This window comes from Homo sapiens, chromosome 17 (genome assembly GCF_000001405.40).
Source record: "Homo sapiens chromosome 17, GRCh38.p14 Primary Assembly".
NCBI lineage: Eukaryota > Metazoa > Chordata > Mammalia > Primates > Hominidae > Homo > Homo sapiens.
This window is the reverse complement of record NC_000017.11, coordinates 6,998,937-7,021,096: the sequence shown is the minus strand read 5'-3', so window position 1 is coordinate 7,021,096 and position 22,160 is coordinate 6,998,937. Positions and strand designations below refer to the sequence as shown.

General features: G+C 50.7%; 3 protein-coding genes, 3 long non-coding RNA genes and 2 other non-coding genes across 13 annotated transcripts in view, besides 10 other annotated features; 4 read left to right on the top strand and 4 right to left on the bottom strand.

Moving 5' to 3' along the window:
• The first annotated feature begins 1,442 nt into the window (after nt 1-1,442).
• On the top strand, nt 1,443-5,279 carry MIR497HG (mir-497-195 cluster host gene). The gene is made up of 3 exons (NR_038310.1): nt 1,443-1,719; nt 3,709-4,028; nt 5,083-5,279. It is a non-coding gene; the product is annotated as a mir-497-195 cluster host gene (long non-coding RNA).
• Nucleotides 2,369-2,538: an enhancer, noted in NCBI's record as "experimental_47316 CRE fragment used in MPRA reporter constructs". NCBI's record gives its function as "activates a minimal promoter by MPRAs in K562 erythroleukemia cells, with activity observed for both the introgressed and non-introgressed 17:6921963 variant alleles {active_cell/tissue: K562}" and the evidence as "EXISTENCE:reporter gene assay evidence [ECO:0000049][PMID:34662402]".
• Nucleotides 3,075-3,186, top strand: MIR497 (microRNA 497). The gene has a single exon (NR_030178.1). It is a non-coding gene; the product is annotated as a microRNA 497 (primary transcript).
• Nucleotides 3,396-3,482, top strand: MIR195 (microRNA 195). The gene has a single exon (NR_029712.1). It is a non-coding gene; the product is annotated as a microRNA 195 (primary transcript).
• Nucleotides 3,573-8,680, bottom strand: RNASEK-C17orf49 (RNASEK-C17orf49 readthrough). Its single transcript, NR_037717.1, has 8 exons — nt 8,340-8,680; nt 7,355-7,431; nt 6,219-6,952; nt 5,941-6,035; nt 5,222-5,323; nt 4,412-4,602; nt 4,083-4,187; nt 3,573-3,836 (listed from the first exon to the last, which is right to left on the bottom strand). It is a non-coding gene; the product is annotated as an RNASEK-C17orf49 readthrough (long non-coding RNA).
• On the bottom strand, nt 3,577-6,315 carry BACC1 (BPTF associated chromatin complex component 1). Of its 3 annotated transcripts, none has more exons than NM_001142798.3 (6): nt 6,219-6,315; nt 5,941-6,035; nt 5,222-5,323; nt 4,412-4,602; nt 4,083-4,187; nt 3,577-3,840 (listed from the first exon to the last, which is right to left on the bottom strand). In NM_001142798.3, the coding sequence occupies exons 1-6, from the start codon at nt 6,237-6,239 to the stop codon at nt 3,776-3,778; spliced, it is 579 nt and encodes a 192-aa protein (NP_001136270.1). In that variant the 5' UTR covers nt 6,240-6,315; the 3' UTR covers nt 3,577-3,775. The 3 variants fall into 3 exon arrangements, with proteins under 3 accessions (NP_001136270.1, NP_777553.1, NP_001136271.1); NM_174893.4 differs by having other exon boundaries at nt 3,577-3,836; NM_001142799.3 differs by lacking the exon at nt 5,222-5,323 and having other exon boundaries at nt 3,577-3,836.
• Nucleotides 3,890-5,089: an enhancer, noted in NCBI's record as "CDK7 strongly-dependent group 2 enhancer chr17:6919327-6920526 (GRCh37/hg19 assembly coordinates)". NCBI's record gives its function as "activates an origin of replication core promoter dependent on BRD2, BRD4, P300/CBP, MED14 and CDK7 cofactors, with strong dependence on CDK7, by STARR-seq in HCT116 cells {active_cell/tissue: HCT116}" and the evidence as "EXISTENCE:reporter gene assay evidence [ECO:0000049][PMID:35650434]".
• Nucleotides 5,502-6,002: an enhancer, noted in NCBI's record as "H3K4me1 hESC enhancer chr17:6918414-6918914 (GRCh37/hg19 assembly coordinates)". NCBI's record gives its function as "activates a minimal SCP1, AML or CMV promoter by ChIP-STARR-seq in naive H9 embryonic stem cells {active_cell/tissue: H9 hESC(naive)}" and the evidence as "EXISTENCE:reporter gene assay evidence [ECO:0000049][PMID:30033119]".
• Nucleotides 5,502-6,382: a biological region, named in NCBI's record as "H3K4me1 hESC enhancer GRCh37_chr17:6918414-6918914".
• Nucleotides 5,933-6,382: a silencer, noted in NCBI's record as "silent region_8080". NCBI's record gives its function as "represses an Ori minimal core promoter by ATAC-STARR-seq in GM12878 lymphoblastoid cells {active_cell/tissue: GM12878}" and the evidence as "EXISTENCE:reporter gene assay evidence [ECO:0000049][PMID:35858748]".
• Nucleotides 6,353-6,853: an enhancer, noted in NCBI's record as "H3K27ac hESC enhancer chr17:6917563-6918063 (GRCh37/hg19 assembly coordinates)". NCBI's record gives its function as "activates a minimal SCP1, AML or CMV promoter by ChIP-STARR-seq in primed H9 embryonic stem cells {active_cell/tissue: H9 hESC(primed)}" and the evidence as "EXISTENCE:reporter gene assay evidence [ECO:0000049][PMID:30033119]".
• Nucleotides 6,473-6,602: an enhancer, noted in NCBI's record as "active region_11594". NCBI's record gives its function as "activates an Ori minimal core promoter by ATAC-STARR-seq in GM12878 lymphoblastoid cells {active_cell/tissue: GM12878}" and the evidence as "EXISTENCE:reporter gene assay evidence [ECO:0000049][PMID:35858748]".
• RNASEK (ribonuclease K) lies at nt 6,565-8,473 on the bottom strand. 3 transcript variants are annotated; one of them, NR_037715.2, is made up of 4 exons: nt 8,336-8,473; nt 7,562-7,778; nt 7,355-7,431; nt 6,565-6,952 (listed from the first exon to the last, which is right to left on the bottom strand). NR_037715.2 is itself a non-coding variant. In NM_001004333.5 (3 exons), the coding sequence occupies exons 1-3, from the start codon at nt 8,411-8,413 to the stop codon at nt 6,811-6,813; spliced, it is 297 nt and encodes a 98-aa protein (NP_001004333.3). In that variant the 5' UTR covers nt 8,414-8,473; the 3' UTR covers nt 6,565-6,810. The 3 variants fall into 3 exon arrangements, 1 of the variants encoding a protein (NP_001004333.3); NR_037716.2 differs by lacking the exon at nt 7,562-7,778 and having other exon boundaries at nt 8,340-8,473; NM_001004333.5 differs by lacking the exon at nt 7,562-7,778.
• Nucleotides 8,033-8,212: an enhancer, noted in NCBI's record as "active region_11593". NCBI's record gives its function as "activates an Ori minimal core promoter by ATAC-STARR-seq in GM12878 lymphoblastoid cells {active_cell/tissue: GM12878}" and the evidence as "EXISTENCE:reporter gene assay evidence [ECO:0000049][PMID:35858748]".
• Nucleotides 8,293-8,412: an enhancer, noted in NCBI's record as "active region_11592". NCBI's record gives its function as "activates an Ori minimal core promoter by ATAC-STARR-seq in GM12878 lymphoblastoid cells {active_cell/tissue: GM12878}" and the evidence as "EXISTENCE:reporter gene assay evidence [ECO:0000049][PMID:35858748]".
• Nucleotides 8,492-9,112: an enhancer, noted in NCBI's record as "H3K27ac hESC enhancer chr17:6915304-6915924 (GRCh37/hg19 assembly coordinates)". NCBI's record gives its function as "activates a minimal SCP1, AML or CMV promoter by ChIP-STARR-seq in primed H9 embryonic stem cells {active_cell/tissue: H9 hESC(primed)}" and the evidence as "EXISTENCE:reporter gene assay evidence [ECO:0000049][PMID:30033119]".
• ALOX12-AS1 (ALOX12 antisense RNA 1) overlaps nt 8,763-22,160 on the top strand; it is a 27,212-nt gene continuing 13,814 nt past the window's right edge. Inside the window, exons 1-2 of the long non-coding RNA NR_040089.1 lie at nt 8,763-8,901; nt 11,208-11,301. This is a non-coding gene — a long non-coding RNA (ALOX12 antisense RNA 1). The remainder of the gene's footprint in view (nt 8,902-11,207; nt 11,302-22,160) is intronic.
• Nucleotides 10,343-22,160, bottom strand: part of ALOX12 (arachidonate 12-lipoxygenase, 12S type) — a 14,706-nt gene continuing 2,888 nt past the window's right edge. Inside the window, exons 5-14 of one of the 2 annotated variants that reach the window (NM_000697.3) lie at nt 22,041-22,144; nt 21,631-21,791; nt 20,618-20,761; nt 19,286-19,495; nt 15,754-15,840; nt 15,070-15,239; nt 14,490-14,611; nt 11,250-11,350; nt 10,971-11,141; nt 10,343-10,853 (exon numbers count right to left, since the gene is read on the bottom strand). In NM_000697.3, the coding sequence (NP_000688.2) occupies nt 10,674-10,853; nt 10,971-11,141; nt 11,250-11,350; nt 14,490-14,611; nt 15,070-15,239; nt 15,754-15,840; nt 19,286-19,495; nt 20,618-20,761; nt 21,631-21,791; nt 22,041-22,144 (1,450 nt within the window). In that variant the 3' untranslated portion in view covers nt 10,343-10,673. The remainder of the gene's footprint in view (nt 10,854-10,970; nt 11,142-11,249; nt 11,351-14,489; nt 14,612-15,069; nt 15,240-15,753; nt 15,841-19,285; nt 19,496-20,617; nt 20,762-21,630; nt 21,792-22,040; nt 22,145-22,160) is intronic. The other variant, XM_011523780.3, reaches the window with a different exon arrangement.

Here is a 22,160-nt window from a genome sequence, read left to right as displayed (position 1 = left end):
TACTCATGCTGATTTGGGGGTGCAGTCTATTTTGGGGTGCCATCTAAGTTTCAAGGCTCAGATTAGATTTGGGGAATAAGTTCAATTTGGAGTTTTAAAAATTAGTTTGAGGTGGAACATTATAGGAAGCTGGGAGCAAGTTCGAAGCTTTCTGTGATTGGGGGTCCTGGGAGGGGGGAGCAAACTTTTATATTTGAGTCTTGTGGACACTCACGTTCCACAAAGTGGAAAGACGTGGGGTATTCCTGTGTATCCATGGATACCCAAGAAGCTTTTTCCCCAGGGGAGAAACAAGGTGAGGGCCGCGAGGACAGGAGACTAAAGTTCTGGGGTGTTCTTATTTTGGGGGTGTTTTGTCACTCTGGCTGCTTTTGGTGAAGCTAAGGGATAATCATAAGGTGAGACTGATTTGGGAGTTCACTTAATTTGGACCCTGGTTTGGGATGTCTTTTGCTTATAGTGCCCTCTCACCCCAGATTCTAGAAGTTTCTTTAGTGAACCCCCAAATAAGCCCAGGATTTGAAGGGAGAAACTTGGAAAGGGTGTGGTATCTCCTTTTATTATTATGTGGCTTGAGGGAGAAGAGAGGGAGAAAAGGCGGTTTCAGACTCTGAATCCCAATTTCTTAAGGGAGCACCCCTTAGTTTGGGGGAAGTTGGAGAAAAATGGGGTGTCCCTTGGCCAAGTGGGCACCCCTGACCAGGGCAGTGCTGTTGGAACTGTGGCAAGGAGGGGTGCTGGTGGGGTACAAGGAGGTGATTCTTGCACCCTGATTTTCTAGGATGAGCCCCAAACAGAAAGCAGACAGAGGACTGGGAGTGTGGGTGAGATGGCGGGGAGGGGTTCCCCACGGCAGCCGGGGCTACAGGGTAAGCCAGGCCAGCTCTTCGCGCCTGGGTCCCTTCTCTCTTCGGCCCTCCTCCCCTCTCTCCCTCCCACCGCCCACCCCCCCAACCCAAGAAAAAAAACTGCCTGTGCAACAGCAATGGCAGATTCCAATCCTCCAGGCTTTCCTAAACCACCACGGTGACCAGCCAGGGGGGAGGGGAAGGGAGGAACGGGCTTTCCTGCTTCCTTAAGACAGGGGCAATGAGCTTGACCTCCTGGCCCCTAGCCCTTTGAGGAGTGATTCCCCCCGGTCTGGAAGCCAGGTGTCCTGGACCCTAGCCCCCGAGCGGTGGGGGGGGCCTGGAGAGACGGGGAGGAGGAAGGAGGGAGTGACTTCCAAAATTGGCATCGGGACAGAGCAGGGCTGGCGGGAGGCAGGCAAAAGACGGAATTTTCCTGAAAAAACGGGGGTATCTGAGGACCCCAAATTTGGGGAGCTAGTCCAGGACCGTCCTCCCAACATCCTAGATTTTTTTGGGATTTTTTGGGGACCCCGGGACCCCTCTAGATGGGGTGAGGAATGTAGTGTTGGGTGAATCTGACTGGGGCATTGCAGCTGCCTCTCCCGCCGAGTTGGAGACGGATGGGCTGGGACGGGTTTTGGGGGGGTGTCCCCAATTCTGACTGGGAGTGGAGGAACCCCTCCTGAGATCTCTTGTGGGGGTGCCCCCTCCCCAGGGCACTCCCCAGTCCCTGAGCCAGCCGAGAGGAAGGAGGCCAGCGATGCGACTGGGGCGGCTCCTTTCTCCTGCACCCCAAATGTGAGGGATGCACCCTAAATTTTGCTCTTTTCAAAATAGGGGACCAGGATCTCAGGGGAGAGTAGCTGAGGTAAGTGGGGAGGGAAGTGTCCTCTGTTTTCAGGAGAGACGTGGCGGTTGGGGGGGAGGTTTGGAGGTGCGTGCTGGGGTGGGGTTGGCTTTGTCAGTCTTGGAATTGGGGGGATGATTGGAGAGGCTTTCTCTTATACCCCTAAACTGCAGCCCCCCAGACGGAAACCAAAGGCTGAGACCAGAGAGCCCCCCAACATCCCCAGCCGTTAGGATAGTGTTTAATTTCTCTTTCACCCCCCACAAAGGCTCTGCCGAGGTAGGAGCTGGGGGCAACTGTTAGTTTGGGGGCTATGGAGGGTGGTGGAGGAGCAGGAGGCCTTGGCAAGATTTGATGGAGGGCAGATAGGGGTGTCCGGGAGGGGTCTGGCATCTTCGGGGGCCTAAAAAGACTGCTTACATACACCACCTTGGATCTTTCAGATTGCTAAGAGTTTTGGGGGGTGTGTCGGAAGAGGGGGTGGTAAAAGATGCGATGGGATATAGGAAGATAACTTCTGGATTTTAGGGGGTCATATTTTGATTTGCAAAAGGAGTTTTGGCCCTTGGATTTTGCTTTCTGAGGGGTGTTTTTAAAAAATCAAGTCCTGGACAGGAGAAAAGGGCTGAGGGAAGGCCTGGAGTTGGGGGTGGGGAGAGGCATGTTTGTCTCAGCTTAAACGTGGCTCTCTGGGGTGGGCCCGCCTGCCCTGGCCTGGTGGATGGGCTGATGGAGGTTGCTGTGGGGGCCGGCTCGGGTCCTCAGGGGCCCTGGGGAGTGGGAACAGCACTGGGGGTTGAATACCTGGCCCCCCAGGTCCAGATGGCCCTCTTCCTGGGCTCTGCTGCTCCCCTTCCCCCTGGTCTCCATTTCCTGCCTTTGGCCTCCATCTTGTGGCAGGCCCAGGGCCCAGGGCGACTTCCGGCCCCCCTCTCCCAACCATGTTCCGGCCCCACCACCTCTGGACTGCCAACTCCCAACCCTGCTGGCCTTGGCCCTCTGTCTCTCCTTGCTTTTCTCTTGGGTTCTGACCCAGGGAGAGGAAGGACGGACACAGGAAGCCTTGGGTCCCTGCCCTTGCTGAGACAGGAGGCAGTGTGTTGGCCCCTCCAGTCATTCCCTATTTCTTCTGCCTCTGACCCCACCCTAGGGATCCCCTGAGCTGAGTTCCTACAGAGGGAAGATGGTCCAATCTTACTACACTGTGAGCTCATCCCCATGGTCCGTCGCCTTCCAGTTGCCTGCTCAGCCCGTCCCTGGTTCCTCCCAAACGTTTTTGGGGGCCATGTTTGCCTTTTAAGGCTTCTCTATCCCCCCGCTCCTGGAGGTGGTGCTGGGGTCTTCCCAGCACTGCTATGTGCTCTCTTCCTTTCAACCCACCCCGGTCCTGCTCCCGCCCCAGCAGCACACTGTGGTTTGTACGGCACTGTGGCCACGTCCAAACCACACTGTGGTGTTAGAGCGAGGGTGGGGGAGGCACCGCCGAGGCTTGGCCCTGGGAGGCCATCCTGGAGAAGTGACACAAAAAACATCTGGGGCCTTGTGACAAACTTCTTGCCAGGTGGGCAAGGAGAGGGTGGGGTATGTAAGCACCCCTCTAAAATCTCCAGGGCAGTTTCAAGAATACTGATGGCCAGAGACCCTGGGAGTAAGTTCTGCCTCAAGAGAACAAAGTGGAGTCTTTGTTGCCCACACCCAGCTTCCCTGGCTCTAGCAGCACAGAAATATTGGCACAGGGAAGCGAGTCTGCCAATATTGGCTGTGCTGCTCCAGGCAGGGTGGTGAAAACTACCGAGGAGGGGCTGAGCCCCCATGGGCCGAGGAGAGAAGAGGGAACAGGCCTCTCCTGCTAATAATGTTAAGCAGACAGCACGAAGCTGAGAGGGAAATCTTTATTGTTTTCTGTATAAAAATGTCCATCAGATGAAGGTCAAAGGGGTTGGGGGCAGATGCTTATGCGGGAATAGCGAGGTGGCAGCCCCAGCAGCCTTTCAGCCCTCTCTCGTGCAGGCCTTGCTCGGAGTCCCAGGAGATCCACAGGTCCGGCATGAACAGTGAGAGGTCAGAGGTGGAAGGCTCAGCAGGAGAGGAGAGGAGGATCAGCAGAGGTCATGAGAAGGCCAGAATCCAGGGTCAGGCTGTCTGGAACAGGAAGTAAAATGGGCCGAGATGGAGCGAGCCCCCAGTGTGCTTCCAAGGCCACTCCCACCTCCCTGAAACACCCTGCTACGTACTGATCCAATGCCCTGCGCTGTGTATGAGAGCACCTTCTCTTCTGAAACCCCTATACAAGGGAGGGGCCCCTGCGGAGACCGTGCCCTGCCATCCAGGTGAGCCCTTTCTCCCCAACCCCGTCAGCTGTGTGGGAGGAGGAGGACTCCTACCCTGGTCGAAGTTGAGTTTCTTAGCTGGAGGAGTTTCTCCTAGCCCTTCAATATCCACCACGTCACTGTTGGCATCGGAGTCGTTCAGAGCACTGAGTGTCACATCTGGGAAGGGGGCATAAGCTAGGTTCTAGGTTCCCCTGACAGCCTCTCCCCCAGCCCCAAGCTTCCCAAAGCTTTGTGCCTCCTCTCCCCTCCCCTCTGCCCCTCTCTGGGAACCTCCACAGGGACAGGAAGAGAGACTGACCCTTCTTTGACCCAGGCCCAATTCTCTCACTAAACCTCAGATGGGACCTTTAACCCCTAGGCAGCAACTCCACAGCCCTCACCAGCCTTCTGTTTCTTTATGGGGGGACCCCCGGCCTCAGGGACACTGGAGCTGCTGGGAGGAGGGGCAGCTGGAGGAGGTGACAAGACACCAGATGCCACCTTCTTGGGCCCTTTCTTGGGTGACTCAGCTGGAAGGGGGATGCCAGAATCTTCATATACCTTGCGTTTCACAGTGGCCTTTATCTGGGCCCTGAAGAAAAGAGAGAAGAGGTTAGGAAAGGAGTCATCAGAGAGACTAACAGAAGAGGGGACGGGAGGGGAAGGGGTTCTGGGAGTCCCTTCATAAGAATCCAGGTCGGGGCCCCAACCCATTGGTAGGGTTCTCACTTTCTCGAAGTTTTACACTCACTCAGGATGGATGGAGTGTGGAGAGTGGAGTCCCTGAACTGAGTAGTGGGAAAGGCCCATCTCCTAATTCTCTTCTGGGAGAGACATCAGGTAGAGCTTGGTGATTTACAGGTGGATTGAGATTTACTGATCAACTAGTTCAGGGTCACCATATCCCTGGAAACACTGCAGTGGGGTCCTCAAACATTTATATAAATAACCAGGGGACTTCCATCATCAAATACAATAACAGCATCTCAGGCAACCTAAATTCACATTCTTGGAAGGATTACCACAGCATTTTAGGAACTTCTGACCAACTGTGACAATTCTATTCTTTCAGTCCTCAAGGGGATTCTAAAAAACTAGTGACAAAGTAGGGAAGCAGCTGAGCTGGAAAGGAGTTCTGAGGACGATGGAACCTTGGGTAAGGAGGAAGAAGGCTGCCCACCCGCCCTTTTCTGGCAGCCACCCTCCCTCACACTGTCCGTTCCTTGATGACACAGCTGATGTGATTAAGATCGTCCCCAAATCGCTTCACAGCAGCCCTCAGCATCTCTATTTCCGTCTCCGTCCACTTCGCACTGTCAGAAGGGGAGAGGGGGGATAGCAAAAATGGGAGGGGGGGTGTGGAGCCCGCCCACAGGCTATGCATCCCACAGCCAACCAGCCGCCTCCTTCCGATTTCTGGGACCCCTTCCACGGATGCATAAAGAGGTCCTCCGTAAGGGGAGGCGGAAAGCTCTTGAGGCCCTGCGGGAACCGGGAGGACCCCAATCACAAGAAATCACAACCACCTCCACCTTAGACACCCCTTTCCACCATCAACGTTAAACGGCTGCTGTACACAGCACACTGAAACCAACTCGCCAGGAAGGGCTTTTCAAAACAGACCCACCAACACAGCCTGCAGCCGTCTGGGGGAATTCCATGAACTGGGGTGGTTGGGAGTGGCGGTGGTTTGTGGTCGACCCGTTCGCAGCAGGGAGAACTGTGAAACAGGAGTCTGGGCTATGGGCCTGTCTGTATTTTTATCTGTCATTCATTCCCTCACCCAACGATCATTTATTAACACCGACTCTGTGCTGTGCCACGCACAAAGGGAAACTAATGTCTGTCCCTGTGCTAGAGAGGGTCCGTGTCTGTGACCGAGTCCAAGCGCCCGCTCTCAGCGTCCACGTCCCAGTCCGGGCTCACGTACCCCGCAGGAGAAGAGTCGGCCACGGGATGCAGCTGCATCGTCAGCTCCCCGAGCTTCGTGAAGGCGGCGCCGGCCGCCGAGAAGATCTCTCCGACCTGGGGGCGGGGCAGCGTCACGGGGGGCCGGCGCCCGCCCTCCCCGTCCCGCCCGGAGCCCCTAGCCCCACCCCAGGCTCGGCTCCCGCCCGCCCCCCGCCCGGGGCGGAAGAGCCGCGAGCCAAGTGGGGGGCCCGCCCTCCCGTGGCCGCCAGGGAGCGCTGTCCGCGAGGGAGGTCGAACCTTTGTGGACGCTGACGTCATGGCCCCGCGCGCCTCCTCACGGAGACGCCGCCGCCGCCGCTACACGCGAGCCGGGACCACGGAGAGCAGGGAGACTGAGCGGCTCGGGCCCCCGCGCAGGAAGTCCCGCCCTCCCCGCAGCGGATAGGCTCAACCCGGCGGCTCCCCGCCCCATCAGACGCAGTCGCTTAGACCGCTCGGCGCGCCCAGTCGATGGGGAAAGCCTTCGCCTCACTTCCGCGCCACACTTCGCTCCACTTCCGCTCAGACATCGGGACTTTCCAGGCAGAGGCCGACCTCTAGTCTCAGCCCCGTGCTCGCCCCCACTCAAGCACAGACACAGGGCTGAAGAGAGCAGATTCTCTTTATTGAGATACGGGACACAGCGAAGGGTGGAGAAACGGAACAGCCCCCCAGCCTCAGCCCTCTCCACGGGGGCCGGATGCCAGAGATGGGAGAAGGGATTCAGTCTCTCGCCCGGGAAACCCAGTCCCGCAGAGGGCGCCGGCAAGGGTGGGACGCGACCTGGGTGACACGGTGCAGGGAGTCTTTAAATAGAGGAGGGGCTGGAGCGGGGAAACGCGCCGGGGCCCTAGCGCACCATGTATTCCTTGCGCTTATTGAGCCGAACTTGGCAGAAAGAGAAGCCTCCGAGGAGGAGGTAAAGGCCTGCAGCGATGAAACAGTTGTAGCTGACTTGCTCGTAAAGGTTGTATATGTTCTGGGGGCCATTCCTGGGGGTGGGAATGAAGCAAAGGGGTCAAACTTTAATAGGAGCCAACATTTTCTGAGCACTATGTGCCCGACACCTGTTTAGGCGCTGTTACGTGTATTACTTTATTCAATCTTCTTGACCATCCTATGGGGTGAGATCTGTCATAGCCATTTTGCAGAGGTGGACTGAGAAGCACAGAAAAGTAAAATACCTAAAGAGGTCACACCTAAGGTGGTGGGTTTGGGATGGCCGCTGAGGTCTGACTCCCTGGCTCCTAACCACATTCTCAAGAAAGCCGCTCTCCTCTCCAAGTCCTCTAACCTAGGGGCCCTAAGCACCGGGCCTCCCAGACGTAATTCTGACCCTAGGCCTCGCCACCTCCCACCTGCTCCCAGCCCGCCTCCCCCACCCGAATACTTACTCAAAATCTTTCTCCGTGAAGGGAACGTCCTCAATCAACACAGCGGAATGGACATTGAAAAATATTCCGAGCATTATCTGGAAAAGGGGAATGGGTAGACTGTTGAATTCAGGCACCTGACCTCATGTTCACTTCGTAAACCCCTCCCATTTCCAATGTTGCTACAACACCCGAGCCTGAGATTAACCAAAACGAGGTGGTGGTTACTGGATTCGGACTCAGCCACCTGGAACAGGGCGTGAGGTGGTGACATTGAGACAAGTGGTCGAGGCAAGGGTGGGAATAGTGACCAAGCCATCTCTCCCAGGAACCCAGATTATCGTCCTCTCTGGAGGCGTCATCATCACGGGACAGTGCGGAAGAGGGGAGGGAGAACCGGCACTTCTTCATATCATTTCTTCTTGAAGTGGCGGTGGGTGGATTACTGGGAAAACAAGGCCCAGCTACACATTTCTGGAACAAGCACTCTCTTTTCCTCCCATGTCCTCCATTCAACTCAAGCACCTCTCAGGCACCCCGCTCTTGTTTCTCCTACCTTGAGGGGTCTCCACCTTTACCAGCCCTGGCTCCTCCCACTCCAGGGCCCTCCGCTCCAGTTCCCTTTTTTCTTTTTCTTTGGGGACGGAGTCTCGCTCTGTCACCCAGGCTGGAGTGCAGTGGCGCGATCTCGGCTCACTGCACCCTCCGCCTCCCGGATTCAAGCGATTCTCCTGCCTCAGCCTCCTGAGTAGCTGGGATTACAGGCGGGCGCCACCACGCCCGGCTAATTTTTGTATTTTTATTGGAGACGGGGTTTCACCATGTTGGTCAGGCTGGTCTCGAACAGTTCCCATTTTTCAATTTCAGTCTGTCTCCTTCTCCGGGGCCTGTAGATCCCCGGCCCCTCCGGCCTGCCTGCGGCCCAGAGTTTCCTCGCCTCCCAGCCCTCCCAGCCCGGAGCCCCTCAGGCCCTCTCCGATCCTTGCCGGGGAGTCCCCTCACCAACATGATCACTCCCCAGGCGCTGAGGACGATGCCGCAGGCGGCCAGCTTCGGCCCACAGCACAGGAGCGACGCCATAAAGAAGGGAGTCGGGGATCGCCGAGGTGCAAGCGGGCTCGGAAAGCGGTGGGAGAAAGCCCAGGATGCCCTCGCAGGGGGGCAGAGGGGGCGTGGCCCCGGCCTCAACCATCCCATCCGGGGGCGGCAGGCGGAAAAGGCTGGGCTCCTCTCAGGACTTTCGCGGGAGACGGCGCCGTCTGAAACCAAAACTGCTCCTGGGGAAACCTTCCTTGACCTCTGTAGCTAGGGCGTGAGTATTGGAAGAGCGAGGGCCTCCGGTTTGTTGGTCCCCCTCCCCCCGCACACGGGAATGGAAGGAGCTGGTATGTCACGTGACCAAGCCTGTCACGTCACGTGACGAGGAACTAGCCTTAGCGAGGCCATGGGGGAAAAAGTCTAACTGGCGGAACTCCTGGGAACTGGGGCGATGGGCTCTTAGTATCGGAGGATTGGAGCCATCTGATTTTTACCTGAAATTCCTTAGTCTCTCCTGTGTTGGGGAAATGGTAAGTAAGACAGATTTTCACCAACAGAGAGCGTTTCTATCTCTTCTCTACTCCTCCCTTTTAAAATTGAGATTCTGACAGTGTAAAGGAGTTAGGACCCCCTTTTGGGGATCGGGCATGGTTTTGTGGCTTTAAAATGCTTTAAAATTGCTGAAGTTTCTTGGTATTGGAACTGTTTCTCCTAAGTAACATTTTATCATCGCACGTGAAATACTGTAACTCTCGGTGCCAAATCCAGGAAAAATGGGCGGTTAGGAGAAGTCCAGGGAAAGCCGACTGAGCAGGTTGTGAAGGTAAGCAGTCCTGTTAAATGTACACAAAAATGTCACTTTGCTTCTCTAAACTAGGAAAACTGATAGGACTTTTGAATAAGGTAGGATATAAGATTTAAAAATATAAATAGGTCATCCCCTCCAAAAAAGCCGTTTGTATGTTTAACTGGTGAGTGACAGATCTGTAATAATTATTTAGAAATAGGAATGTCGAGGCGGGCGGATCACCTGAGGTCGGGAGTTCGAGACCAGCCAGGTCAACATGGCGAAACCCTGTCTCTACTAAAAATTACAAAAATTAGCTGGATGTGGTGGCATGAGCTTGTGATCCCAGCCACTCGGGATGGTGAGGCGGGATAATCCCTTGAACCCGGGAGGCGAAGGTTGCAGTGAGCTGAGATGGCGCCACTGCATTCCCGCCTGGGCGATAGAGACTACTTCTAAAAAAAAAAAAAAAAAGAAAAGAAAAGAAGTAGGGATGTTTGAAGAACACAGTTTTGCAGTGAGCAAGTTGTACCCACTCTAGTGAGGACAGTGACCTCAGAATAATTGAGAGGGATCATTTGACCTTGAGACCCCAGGACCTAACAAATAAACACTATCATTGGCTAGAATAACTTTGTAGTTCTTGTCCATTTATTTTGTGCATGTTGTTCTTAAAAGGCTTGTGAAAGATAACTTGGAATGTGGGAAACACATAGATCCCAGAGTATTAAAGGGGCTGGAAAAGTAGCCTTAAGACATGAATTATGTGCCTTTCATCTGGGACTGTTTGGAGAAAGAAGCCATTTTGGGGCAGTGGTTTGTATTCTGCCCCAAAAACATGATTCTTATTCAGGGACTTTTGGGGTACATGGGTGAATAGGAGAAATATGGGTGGAAGGAATTTGCCAAAGAACTGAGTCAGGAATTTGTACATTGGCCACCAGGCATGAAGGTTAGTTCCTGGGAATGGAGAGTTAGCTGAGGTAAGCTGATTTTTCTAAGAAATCCCCCTGCTCCATGATCTTGGATGTTTTGGAAGTAGGGTCAGGGCCTCAGGCTAGTGCAGGGTTCAAGGGCCAAATCCAGTCTGTAGCCTGGCTGTGCATGTCTCAAACAAAGCACATTTGTTTGTGGATTTTTTTTGCATTTTAAATGGTTGAATAAACCAAAAGAAGACTACTTTGTGATGTAACATTCATATCTCAGTGTCCATAAAGTTTTATTGGAACATAGTCACACTCATTTCCATGTTGTCTGTGGCTGCCTTCATGCTGCAGCAGGAGAGCTGAGTAGTTGAGACAGTGACTATGCGGTCTGCAAAGCGTAAAAAAGGATCTAGTCTTTGCAGAGAAAGTTTACTGCTCCCCTGGGCTAGTGGGATACTAATGTAGGGGGTTTAACTGGGGGAGGAAATAGAGCCTTAGCAGCAGAGACTTTAGGAAAGCATGAAATTCAAGATAGAAATGTCAGTCCTAAAGCTGATGTGAAATCTTGCAGGTAGAGTCACTCTAGGGCTCAGATGGTGACACTGTTCTCTATGCAGCTGGGCTTCAGATATTCATAGGGCCAGTCAAGTTGCTCATTCCGGGCTGTAATCTCCTTTTCCAGCTTTTCCAAATCTGTTCGGAATTGGTTTAGCACAGCTTTGGGCTTGGGGCCTGAGAAATATTTTTCTTTGTGGTGCCCCAGAGGCACCTGAGACAGAACAAAGGATCAGTCAGTTTCTAAAGACAAACGCACCTAGAGCCCAGCCCCTCACTCTGATGTTTCCTTTCCAACTGTCATTTCCCTCTCCCGAGAGTCCCCTCTCACCATGTCTGGCTGGCGGCGACTCAGATGCCATGAGATGGCCATTTGAAGACAGGCCTGCCGGACATCAGGTAGTGACCCCATCACTGTGGCCATCGTCACATCTTCCTTGGTGGTGGGTGGGGGCATCCGCATTGTGCATGGAGCATTAGGGACCCAGGCATACCAGTCCAGCTGGAGGAAGAAACTGTAACCCTAGAACCCTGGTACTTAGGGTTTGAACTCCCATCTCTCCCTCAGGTCACCTTGCCTTCAGGGACCTGGGCTTTCAGCTGTCCATACCTGGCCCTGGTTGATGGCGGCATGCTGGGCAGTGCACGTGAAGACGCACATGGTGAGGAAATGGCAGAGTTGACTCTGGGACTGGAAGGAGACAGGGAAACCTGGGCAGGAAAGGAATAGCAGTTAGAAGCTACAGCATAAGAGGAGAGGAACAAAGGCTGTTGTTTTGGGATGCCCATATTTTAGAATTGATGAATTTGTTTATTTTATTTAGACGTATTTGCATCAGACATGCGTTTAAGTCCTGGCTCAGTCACTTACACTTAGTTACCATAGGCCAGCTTAACCTATTTGAACCTCAGTTTTTTTCACCTGTAAAATATGGACGATACCTACATTATAAATGAGATGATGTATCAAAATCACCTGGTCTGTAATAAATGCTCAATAAGTAAGTAATAATTATTGTTATGGAAGGATTGGGGGCTGAAAAGTTCTGAGTGACCAAATATCCCTTGCCTCAAAAAGTGGTTAAGAATTGAGGGATGCGGCCGGGCGCGGTGGCTCACGCCTGTAGTCCCAGCACTTGGGGAGGCCAAGATGGGCGGATCACGAGGTCAGGAGATCGAGACCATCCTGGCTAACACGGTGAAACCCCGTCTCTACTAAAAATACGAAAAGTTAGCCAGGTGTGGTGGCGGGCACCTGTAGTCCCAGGTACTCGGGAGGCTGAGGCAGGAGAATGGCGTGAACCCGGGAGGCAGAGCTTGCAGCGAGCTGAGATCCCGCCACTGCACTCCAGCCTGGGCGACACAACGAGAGTCTGTCTCAAAAAAAAAAAAAAACCAATTGAGGGATGCGTGGTCGGTGACTCATGCCTGTAATCCCAGCACTTTGGGAGGCCAAGGCAGGAGGATTGCTGGTAGTCAGGTGACAGAGCAAGAGCCTGTCTCTATTTAAAAATTAAAAAATAAATAAATAATTTAGGAATGCGTAATCCTATTCCCAGACAGAATTACAAGTGTCTGCGTTATAATGTGGGGAATAAGTCATGGATTTCCAGTGTCACAGCTGAGAGGGGCTCCCACAAAGGTTATCTCAGTCCACTCATTTTGCAGTGGATATGGGGGCTCAGAGACCCGATAATCTTTTTTTTTTTTTTGAGACGGAGTCTTGCTCTGTTGCCCAGGCTGGAGTGCAGTGGCACAATCTCGGCTCACTGTAACCTCCGCCTCTCAGGTTCAAGTGATTCTCCTGCCTCAGCCTCCCAAGTAGCTGGGATTACAGGCTCCCACCACCATGCCCAGCTAATTTTTGTATTTTTAGTAGAGATGGAGTTTCACCGTGTTGGCTAGGCTGGTCTGGAACTCCTGGCCTCAGGTGATCTGCCCACCTTGGCCTCCTAAAGTGCTGGGAGACCCAATAATCTTATCAGTTAAGTGGAATAAATATAATTACTCTCATTTTATAGGTAAGAAAATCAAAGCCCATAGAGAATAAACTGTCAGGACTGCATAGTTGGGAAAAGGCAGAGGCTGATCTTGAACTCAGGTTCCTGACTGCTAATCCCATGGCATTTTTAATTTTAGCCTCTAAAATGTCTGCTGGGAAAACTAGACAAAAGTGAGCTATGAGAACTGAAAGAGAACAGGGGGGAGGGTGGTTAGTGGAGGTTAAAGTTAACATGTGTCATGAACTGAATGTCTTTGGCTCCGAAAAATTTTTATATTGAAATCTAATCCTATTGTGATGGTATTTGGAGGTGGAGCCCCACATGATAATTAGGGTGTGAGGGTGCAGCCCTCCTGAATGGGTTTGATACCTTTATGAGCAGAGGACAGAGTGCTAGCTTGCTATCTTTCTGCTGTGTGAGGATACAGGGAGAAATCGGCTGTGGGCAGCCTGGAAGAGGGGTCTCACCAGAACCTGATCTTGAACTTTCAGCCTCCAGAACTGTGAGGAATACATTTCTGTTGTTTATAAGCCACCCAGTCTATGGTGTGTGGTTTTTTTTATTTTATTTTTTTGAGACGGAGTTTCGCTCTGTTGCCCAGGCTGGAGTGCAATGGCGTGATCTCAGCTCACTGCAACCTCCGCCTCCCAAGTTCAAGCGATTCTCCTGCCTCAGCCTCCCGAGTAGCTGGGATTACAGGTGCGTGCCACGACGCCTGGCTAATTTTTGTATTTTTAGTAGAGACGGGTTTCACTATGTTGGCCAGGCTGGTCTCGAACTCCTGACCTCGTGATCCACCCACCTCAGCCTCCCAAAGTGCTGGGATTACAAGCGTGAGCCACTGTGCCCAGCTAGTGTTTTGTTGTAGTAGCCCAAACTGCTAGGAGCCTAAGGGACTGTACTGAGAAGAACTAGAGAGAGTTTGGTCCTGGAAGGGTAGGGTGGTGCAGATTCCCCAGGGAGAGGCTCCCTCCAGGGTAAGGAGGTTTGCCACATTCCCAGGATTCGCCATAAGGGCTCCCCAGTAAATGTCTGTAGTTGTCTCACAGAGGCAGAGGATGGTATTCACAGCCTAGATCTGAAGTGTGAGGGGGAGGGGCCGAAGGATGAGTGACAGCAGTCCAGGCTGGTGCCTGTGTGATTAAACCTAAGAGCTCAGCAAAGGCTTTTTCTTCCTCAGAGGTTCAAATGTGGGGAGTGAGAGTTGACTAAAGGTAGTGGCTAGATTTTGGCCAAGGGGTGGTTAGGGTGGAAGAGTTGGATTAGCCAAAGAAACCTGAGCCCCAAGGATCAGGGTGCTGAGTTTGGGTTTGAGGCAAAGCATGTATAGGATTGAGCTTGCATCAAGAGCTGACCTTGCACTGTAGCAAGCGTGCGGTATTCCTGGACCCTCTGTGCGTGCTGCACAGTGGCAGGCAGGAAGAGAGGGAGGGAAAGCCAGGGTGGGTCCTTGTGGGCTTCGGAGGGAAAATCTTCCCATTTACATCCTCAGTTAGGAAAACGGAACCATCAGGAGAGAATATGAGCCCAGCAGGGACTGTGCAGACCCCTCCCAGCTGTGGATATGGCCTGGGGGGCCCCAGGATATGGCAGTTCAGGGGCATCTGTGACTGGGGTGTAGTGGGACTAGGGGTTGATGGCCAGGGTCTCTGAGGAGGACAGTCCTTGGGTCTCTAGAATTGTCCTGAGTCGGAGGAGGTGGGAATGGGATACACATGCTTTCCCGTGTGGAGGGAGGAAGGGAGGCGTGATGAGAGGCTGGGGTCCTGTCCCCAGAAGGGCAGGGCTGGGAAGGCGCCCTGGCAGAGTCTCCCAGGAGCTTCTTCTGTCTCTAGAATGGATCTTACCTCGGTCCTGGGCCTGGCACAGCCCCACCTCCGTGATCTCCCGACACCAGGCCTGCAGCTCAGGGTCCCCCTTCACTATGTCATCCCTTTGGTAGAAGAGGTGGACGATCCCCTCCACATACCTGCCCAGGGGGAAAAGGCACTTGAGGGCAGAAAGCCCCCGCCTCTGACCTCTATTCCTCTTTCTGTGGCATCTGCCCAATGCTTCCACAGTATCTGGGAAGACACCTCGCCTTTGGGACATCCTCAGCCCTCTAAACACACTAGCATCTCATGGAAGATGTGGGTCCTTAGTTCTAGGAATTCGCATGGTTGCTGTCATACATCGTCAGAAAATCCTGATTTTTCCAGACACCTCCCCCAGTCTCCCCCCACAGCTCCCCTCACCTCCTCTCTCTGCCTCATCCCAGTCTCCTCATTTTCAGAGCCACCCACTGTGTCCTCACTTTTCCTCATCTCTCCCCAGGATTGAGTTCTCTGCTTCTCCTTTCTGGACCTTCTTGCTTTTGCCCCATGCTGGCCTCAGGCCAGAGCCCCCCCCCCCCCCGGCCCCACCATTTCTCAGCTCCTCCTTACTCACCTGGCAATGATCTCCCAGAGCCGTAAAGCATCATGGGCATAGAGAGCACCTGGGAGTCCCAGCAGGCCCCGGTCAGCCAGGTCGTCAGGAGGACAGAGGGAGCAGTAGGTCAGCTGAGCTGCCGCCCGACGGAGCAACTGTACATGGCCCCCTCCACCTGTGCTCACTGCCTGGGACAGGAGATCACAGGTCTTAGAGGGGGAAACAGGGCTGGAGAACCAACACATCTTCCATAAAGTGGGGCAAATGTGGGATTTTCAGATATTAAGACATGGGTATACAGCACTTTGGGAGGCTGAGGTGGGTGGATCATGAGGTCAGGAGTTCGAGACCAGTCTGGCCAACACAGTGAAACCCCATCTCTACTAAAAATATAAAAATTAGCTGGGCATGGTGGCGGGCGCCTGTAATCCCAGCTACTCGGGAGGCTGAGGCAGGAGAATCGCTTGAACCCAGGAGGCGGAGATGGCAGTGAGCCGAGATGGCGCCACTGCACTCCAACCTGGGCGACAGAGCTAGACTCTGTCTCAAAAAAAAAAAAAAAAAAAAAAAAGACATGGGTATAAAAGGGACAGGTTCATAGGTTAAGAGTGAGGACATTCACACATAGTTGATCTTGGATCCTGAAAGTGGCAGATCATGGAGAGATGGATGAGGCAGTCCCATGCCCCGTACCCTCCTCACCTTATCAAAAATTCCTCCATCTGAGATGAGTTGGGTCCGGGCCCGGGTGTTGATTTCCATGGTGTAGCGGATATGGGGGATCAGGAACTGGAGAGGAGGAGATTGGAGGGCGTGACTGGTGGAGGCCATGCTTGGGTCCTTCCTGGTAGGGCCTGGCACCCAGCATGGCGCCTTCTCCTCTTGATGCTTTCCTTTACAGGCTGATCTCCTGCTGTTCTGATCACTCACTCTTGTGCTCTCCAACTTCCCTGTGAGTTGGGCCCTGGAGCCAGACTGACCAGGATTTTAACCTACACTTTACTCCTCATTTGAGACTTGGCCAAGTTAATAACCTTTTAATCTGCAATCTCTTCATTTGTCAACAGGGGGCAGCAATAGACTCTCTTATCTCAGGGGCTGTGGTGATGCTCACCTAAGTGATGTTGGAGAGTGTCTATTACACATAAGAGTCCTGGAATAGTAGCTGTCTGCTTCATTGTTTCTACCTTGAGTATAGGTGCCTTATGAATCAGCCCTTTCTGATTTTCTTTGCTACCTCCTCTGTCATTCACATCCTCTTAAACTAGCCTCTCTGCTTATGATCAAAGCTGCATCTCCATCTTTTAGTTGTTTCACAGTTGGGGGTTTCTTTAGGGGATGGATGGGGAGAATACTTTCTGTCAGAACTAGAAGAGCTATATTCAGCTACCTGTTTAAGCAAATCTTTCTCCACCCCTACTTAAGCACTGTTGGGCCCCTCTTCTCCTGCTTTTCCTTAGCTATTGAAAAAAGGCCATGGTCTTTTTTTAATATTAAAATATTTTCCTTAGCTATTAAAATTTAATATTAAATTTAAATTAATTTAATATTAAATATTTAATTTTAAATTAAAATTTTAATTTAATATTAAAATAAAAATATTAAAATTTAATTTAATATTGAAGCAATTAAAATTAAAATTAAATTAATTAATATTAAATTAAATTAAATTAAATTAATATTAAAATTAAAAATATTAAAATTTAATTTAATATTAAATTAATATTAAAATTAAAAATATTAAAATTTAATTTAATATTAAATTAATTAAATTAAGTTAAATTAATATTAAATTAAATTAAGTTAAATTAATATTAAATTAAATTAATTTAATATTAAAATTAAAAATTTAAATGTTTATTTAAAATTAAATTTAAATTTTAAATTTAAATTTATTTAAATTTTAATTATTTATTTAAAATTAAAATTAAAATTTTAATTTAATATTAAATTAAAATTTTAATTTTAATAAATTAAAATTTATTAAATTAAAAATATTAAAATATTTTCCTTAGCTATTAAAAAAGGCATGGTCCTTACATGCGTTTCTTTTTATCTTAGACTGTTTGTCTTCCTTTCCACATAGTTAACATGCAGGTTTCAAGCAGTTTTGGTGCTTGTCTGAATTGTTGATGCTGGACACTGGCAATGACCCCAATGACACCTTTGGTGTTAAGATACCAAAGCAGCTCACATTAACCTGAAGCTTTTCAGAAGATTCATGAAAGATGCCAAATGTCACGGAAAGGCCAAAGTCCACATGAGGAGAAAGGATGCCTAAGGATAAACAGTCCTTAATAATAATAATTGCAAGAACTAGCTGGGTGTGGCGGCATGTGCCTGCAATCCAGGTTACTTGGGAGACTGAGGCAGGAGGATCGCTTGAGCCCAGGAATTTGAGACTAGCTTGGGCCACATAGTGAAACCCTGTCTCTACAAAAAATAAAAAAAATTAGCCAGGCATGGTGGTGCACACCTGTAGTCCCAGCTACTCTGAAGGCTGAGGTTAGAGGATCGCTTCAGCCCAGGAGTTTGAAGCTGCAGTGAGTTATGATTACGCCACTGGACTCCAGCCTGGGTGACAGAGTGAGAACTTGTCTCTGAAAAAAAAAAATTTGCAAGAACTAATGTTTTTTGTAGCATTTAGCTTGTGTCACACCATTAAGTCATTTTAACCTTTAATAACCTCACGATGGAACATGTGAGGACATCTGGAAATTATTGAGGCCGGGGTTCAGGACTAAGACCCCAGCAATCCAAAGTCAGAGCCTGCATAGGCCACTGTTAAGACATGTGCAGGCTTGACCCTTGTGTGCATCTGCCAGCAACTCAGCTGTCCGCTGGGGCATGGCATTACTGTGGTGAGTGGAGACACGGAGAGGACTGAACTAGGAAACGGAATTGTAAGTGTGAATAGAGGCTTCACTTGTTCGTGTGGAGCAGAGGATGGGGAAGCAGGAGACAGCATGAGATGAATGAAATCCAAGATTCCATTCATCAGACTGGTCTCCATCTTGTCTATGTTACCGAAGGGGAAAATTCCAGAGGCGGCACAGCTATACTGGCCAGGCTTGGGGGGTCTTGGTGGAGGCCCCCAGCTGAAACACAATTTGGTTGTTTTTACCCAGGACATACTTGCATATCTTGCCAATACATCAAACTCCATGTACCTAAAACCAAACACCTCATTTTTGCTGACTCTGGTTTCTTCTAACTTTACTGTTTCTGACAATTACTCTGGTTTGTAAGCTTGTATCATTTTTGTGCTCCCTCTGCCAAGTTCCCTGTATATAAAGTATCATCAAGATTTTAAGAACATTTTCTTAAGCAAGCACAGGTCTTATTTTGCCTTCTCCCAGCAATATATATGGAACTCACTGTTTTATAAAATTACAGTATTTCTTTCTTTCTTTCTTTTTATTTAGAGACCGGGACTTGCTGTGTTGCCCAGGCTGGTCTTGAACTCCTGGTCTTAAGCAATCATACTGCTTTGGCCACCCAAAGCACTGGGATTACAGGCGTGAACCACCACACCCAGCTCTTAAAACCACAGTATTTCTAGGTCAGTATAACACACCTGCCCCAGGGACTTACAGGTGTGGCAGAAGCTTGGACTTCTGGCTTTTCTCTCTCTTGCACCCAGGCACGCTGCAGCTACCATTTCCTCCCTTCACTACGTTTTAGATTCTTTCCTTTTCATTCCTGTCATTACCATGCTAACATACATCTCTATCCACCTTACTGTTGGGCAGGTATGAGCGGCTTGCTGGCTGTTCTTCCTTGCCTTTTGGTCTGTTTCTACTTAGCTGACTCCTCAATTGGGTAGAAACATTCTTCATCAATACTATACTGTTATAGGCTGTCCCTTGTGATTTCAAACTCTAGTACCAGATACTGTTCTCTGGTTGGTTCTTATGGGCATCACTTGTTTTTCTGGCTAAATACTAGATCTAAGGTAGGAATATGGCTTTTGTTTTACTAGCAGTGTTCAAGCCCTACTGTGAGCGCACTGCTAGACTGTCAGATCTCTGAGAATTTCAGAGGATTCCTATATAATGTTAAGTGACTAAACTTAATAAACTTAATTAAAATCAACATCTCAAGATATTGAGACAGTCTCCTCTTCACTCACAAATTGCTACAAAGAGTTTTTGCTGCTGCAATATCTTTTGATATGGGGCTGTTCCTCTCTCTGGGGTCTGAGGGATATGTGATTTAATAGATTAATAAGTACCTTGAAGATGGGGTGCAGTCCTGGGAGGCACCGCATGGTGGCGACAGCGATGACCTCAGCCACCAGGTGAGTGTTCAGCAAGTGATACTGGATCTCGTGCAGTTGGAAATCTGAATTTCGGACCCAGGACTTTGCCAGGAGCCAGGCAAGTGGGGGGTCTGAGGGCAGGAACAGTGTTGGGGTTGGAGAGCTGGGGTTGGGAGGCTGAATCTGGGAGAAAGAGAAATTATTGAACTCCCATTCCGTATATGACATTATAGTCAGCATTCTTGGGGAAACAGAGATGACTAAGTAAGATTATTGCCTTCTAGGAGGTTATAGTCTAGCAGGAGGACTGTGAACCCTCCCAGCCTGCCGCTCGCTAGCTGGAGTGCCCTGATGTCAGGTGGAAGGCAGGAGGGACTGGAAGAAGGGGGTCCAGAAGGAGGCCCTAACAGTGGTGTGGGAGAAACCTGCTGCTTTGGGGTCGGCGCTCAGATGGTGGTGGAATGTGAAGGAGAAGTAGGAGGTGTAAGATTATTGACAGTTCTTGTCACCTGACTGTTAAGAATAGTGAGAGAAGGCCAGGTGCAGTGGCTCACACCTGTAATCCCAGCACTTTGGGAGGCCGAGGCAGGCAGATTACTTGAGCCCAGAAGTTCAAGACCAGCCTGGGCAATATGGCGAAACCCCATCTCTACAAAAAATACAAAAATTAGCCAGGCCCACATGGTGGCACATGCCTGTGGTCCCAGCTACTGGAGGGACTGAGGTGGGAGAATTGCTTGAACCCAGGAGGCGCAGGTTGCAGTGAGCCAAGATCACACAACTGTATTCCAGCCTGAGTGACACAGTGAGATTCTGTCTCAAAAAAAAAAAAGAAATTGCGAGAAAAGATATTCAAGAGATGGCGAGGGTTCAGAGCCAGAGGCCACTGAGAGATGAGATAGTGATTCTGAAAGTGTAGTCCTGAACTGGTAGTGTCAGCATCACTTTGGAACTTATAAAAACGCAAACTCTTAGTTCCCACCCCAGACATACTGAATCAGAAAGTCTGGTCATGGGATCCAGAAATCTGCATTTCAACAGGCATTCAGGTGATTCTGATGCACACTGAAGTGTGAGGACCATTGGATACAGGATGAGAACTCCAGGAGGCCATTTTGACTCTTGAAAAAGTAATTCTAGTTGGATGAGGCAGGGGAGACGAGGGTACAGGCAAATAGTGACATGAAGACAAGTCTCACTGAGTGAGGATGGGGTTTGGGAGCCAAGAGCTGGGGGTTGGGTCCCTGGGAGCAGAGGTTGAGGTGAACAGAGTGCAACGTTGTGGGAGAGGTCTGGGGCCCTTACCTGGATGACCATGGGCTGCAGCTTCCCATTGGGCTCCATCTTCAGCATAACGAGGGGGGCAGCCAGGTATTGCTTCTCTCCTCGGATCACGTTGGCTGGAATTCCATCCAGAAGGATGAAGTCAGCTTCAAACAGGGAACCATTCTGGGGACAGGAGGGATGTATCCATTTTTAGAGTTCAAAGTCTACCCCCAGGGGGCCGGGGCAAAGGGCAAGAGATTTAGTCTAGCTTCTTGCCATTCTCCTGCATCAGTACCGGAGCCCTGTTGGGAGAACTAGAGCCCCTGGTCCAGTTCCTCTCATCTTAAAGTGAAGAAACAGTCTGGTGAGGGTAGATGTCTTGTGTGTGGATGTGGTGGCAGATCTGGGTTTGGAACCAGGCCTGCTCAATCCAGTTGGCATCACAGGCATTGTAAACTGACCACCTGTCAAATGGCCAGGCCCCTTTCTGATCATTCCCGAATGGTCTGCGCTCTGGTTTTGGCTCCTATCAGCTCAGCAAATGCTCTTTCATTCCCTATTCAAATCTCACATCCTCTGCCAAATATTCCAGAGAGCTTCCCCTACTACCCCTGCCACCGCATACAGCACACACATGCATACGCACACATTTTGCCTAGGCTTGTCCTCAGTACAGTCCATTGCTTCCAAACCCCGCTCTCTTTTTCTAGAAAGCCTCCCCGATTCTCCCCACCTGATGGCACTTCCTCACTTTTCTCCCTGCCCATGAACACTGGAGTCCAGAACACTGCGGCCAGGCAATGTCACTGTTCCTGCTAACATCTCCAGCCCCTCTCTGTGTGCTGGGGATCCATTCTATTTTCCCCTTCCTGCTGGGAGCTCCTCATAGTTTCTTCCCCTACATATTTTATTTCTGTATTTTTCCAGCACAGGACTGCACCAAGGGGCAATGCAGTACTGCAGCCTTCCTCTGACTCAGTTTGGATTCTCTCTGTCCGTTCTCACCACACTACTAAGGAGAGAACAGTGCCAGGCAGGGGAAGGAGAGGTACCTGAAGTTCTTTCTCCAGTTGAGCCTGAAGCTCTTCCATCCCCGAGGGCAGCACTAGCCTGGAGGGCAGAGAGGTCGAGCGTCTCAACAGCATGGGGTTGGCACCATTGAGGAACTGGTAGCTGAACAACTCATCATCCTGCCAGCACTGGCGAACCTTCTCTTTGGTGGGCGGTGAAAGGAGGATATATGTACCACAGCCTGCATATCCCTTCTCCAAAATCTACCCCAGGGGTTCAGGTATATAACCCTCCCTGAACCCAGCTTCTGCGTTTTCATTCTCAAGGCCTCTCTGAGTTGACCAGATATGATAAGGTCTCTTCTTGCAAAGAGTTACGGGGGACTGTGGAGTGTGATGAGTCATCCAGAGGGGCCATTAAGGGATTATGGAGACCTCGGGGAACCACTGACCAGCCAGGGCACTCTTCTGGCCCCAGAAGATCTGATCAAAGTCTTCTAGGCAGTTCCAGGAGCTCAGGAGGGTGTAAACACGTTTGAGGGCCATCTCCAGAGCCCTAGGACAGGTATTGA

Coding starts and splice junctions, on each gene's coding strand:
- BACC1 (NM_001142798.3), bottom strand. CDS start 6,239: ATGACGTCAGCGTCCACAAAG. Junction 6,036..6,218: donor TGACGTCAGCGTCCACAAAG/GTTCGACCTCCC, acceptor CCCCGCCCCCAG/GTCGGAGAGATCTTCTCGGC. Junction 5,324..5,940: donor GCCGACTCTTCTCCTGCGGG/GTACGTGAGCCC, acceptor CCCTTCTGACAG/TGCGAAGTGGACGGAGACGG.
- RNASEK (NM_001004333.5), bottom strand. CDS start 8,413: ATGGCGTCGCTCCTGTGCTGTGGGCCGAAGCTGGCCGCCTGCGGCATC. Junction 7,432..8,335: donor CCTGGGGAGTGATCATGTTG/GTGAGGGGACTC, acceptor CCCCTTTTCCAG/ATAATGCTCGGAATATTTTT. Junction 6,953..7,354: donor TTCACGGAGAAAGATTTTGA/GTAAGTATTCGG, acceptor TCCCACCCCCAG/GAATGGCCCCCAGAACATAT.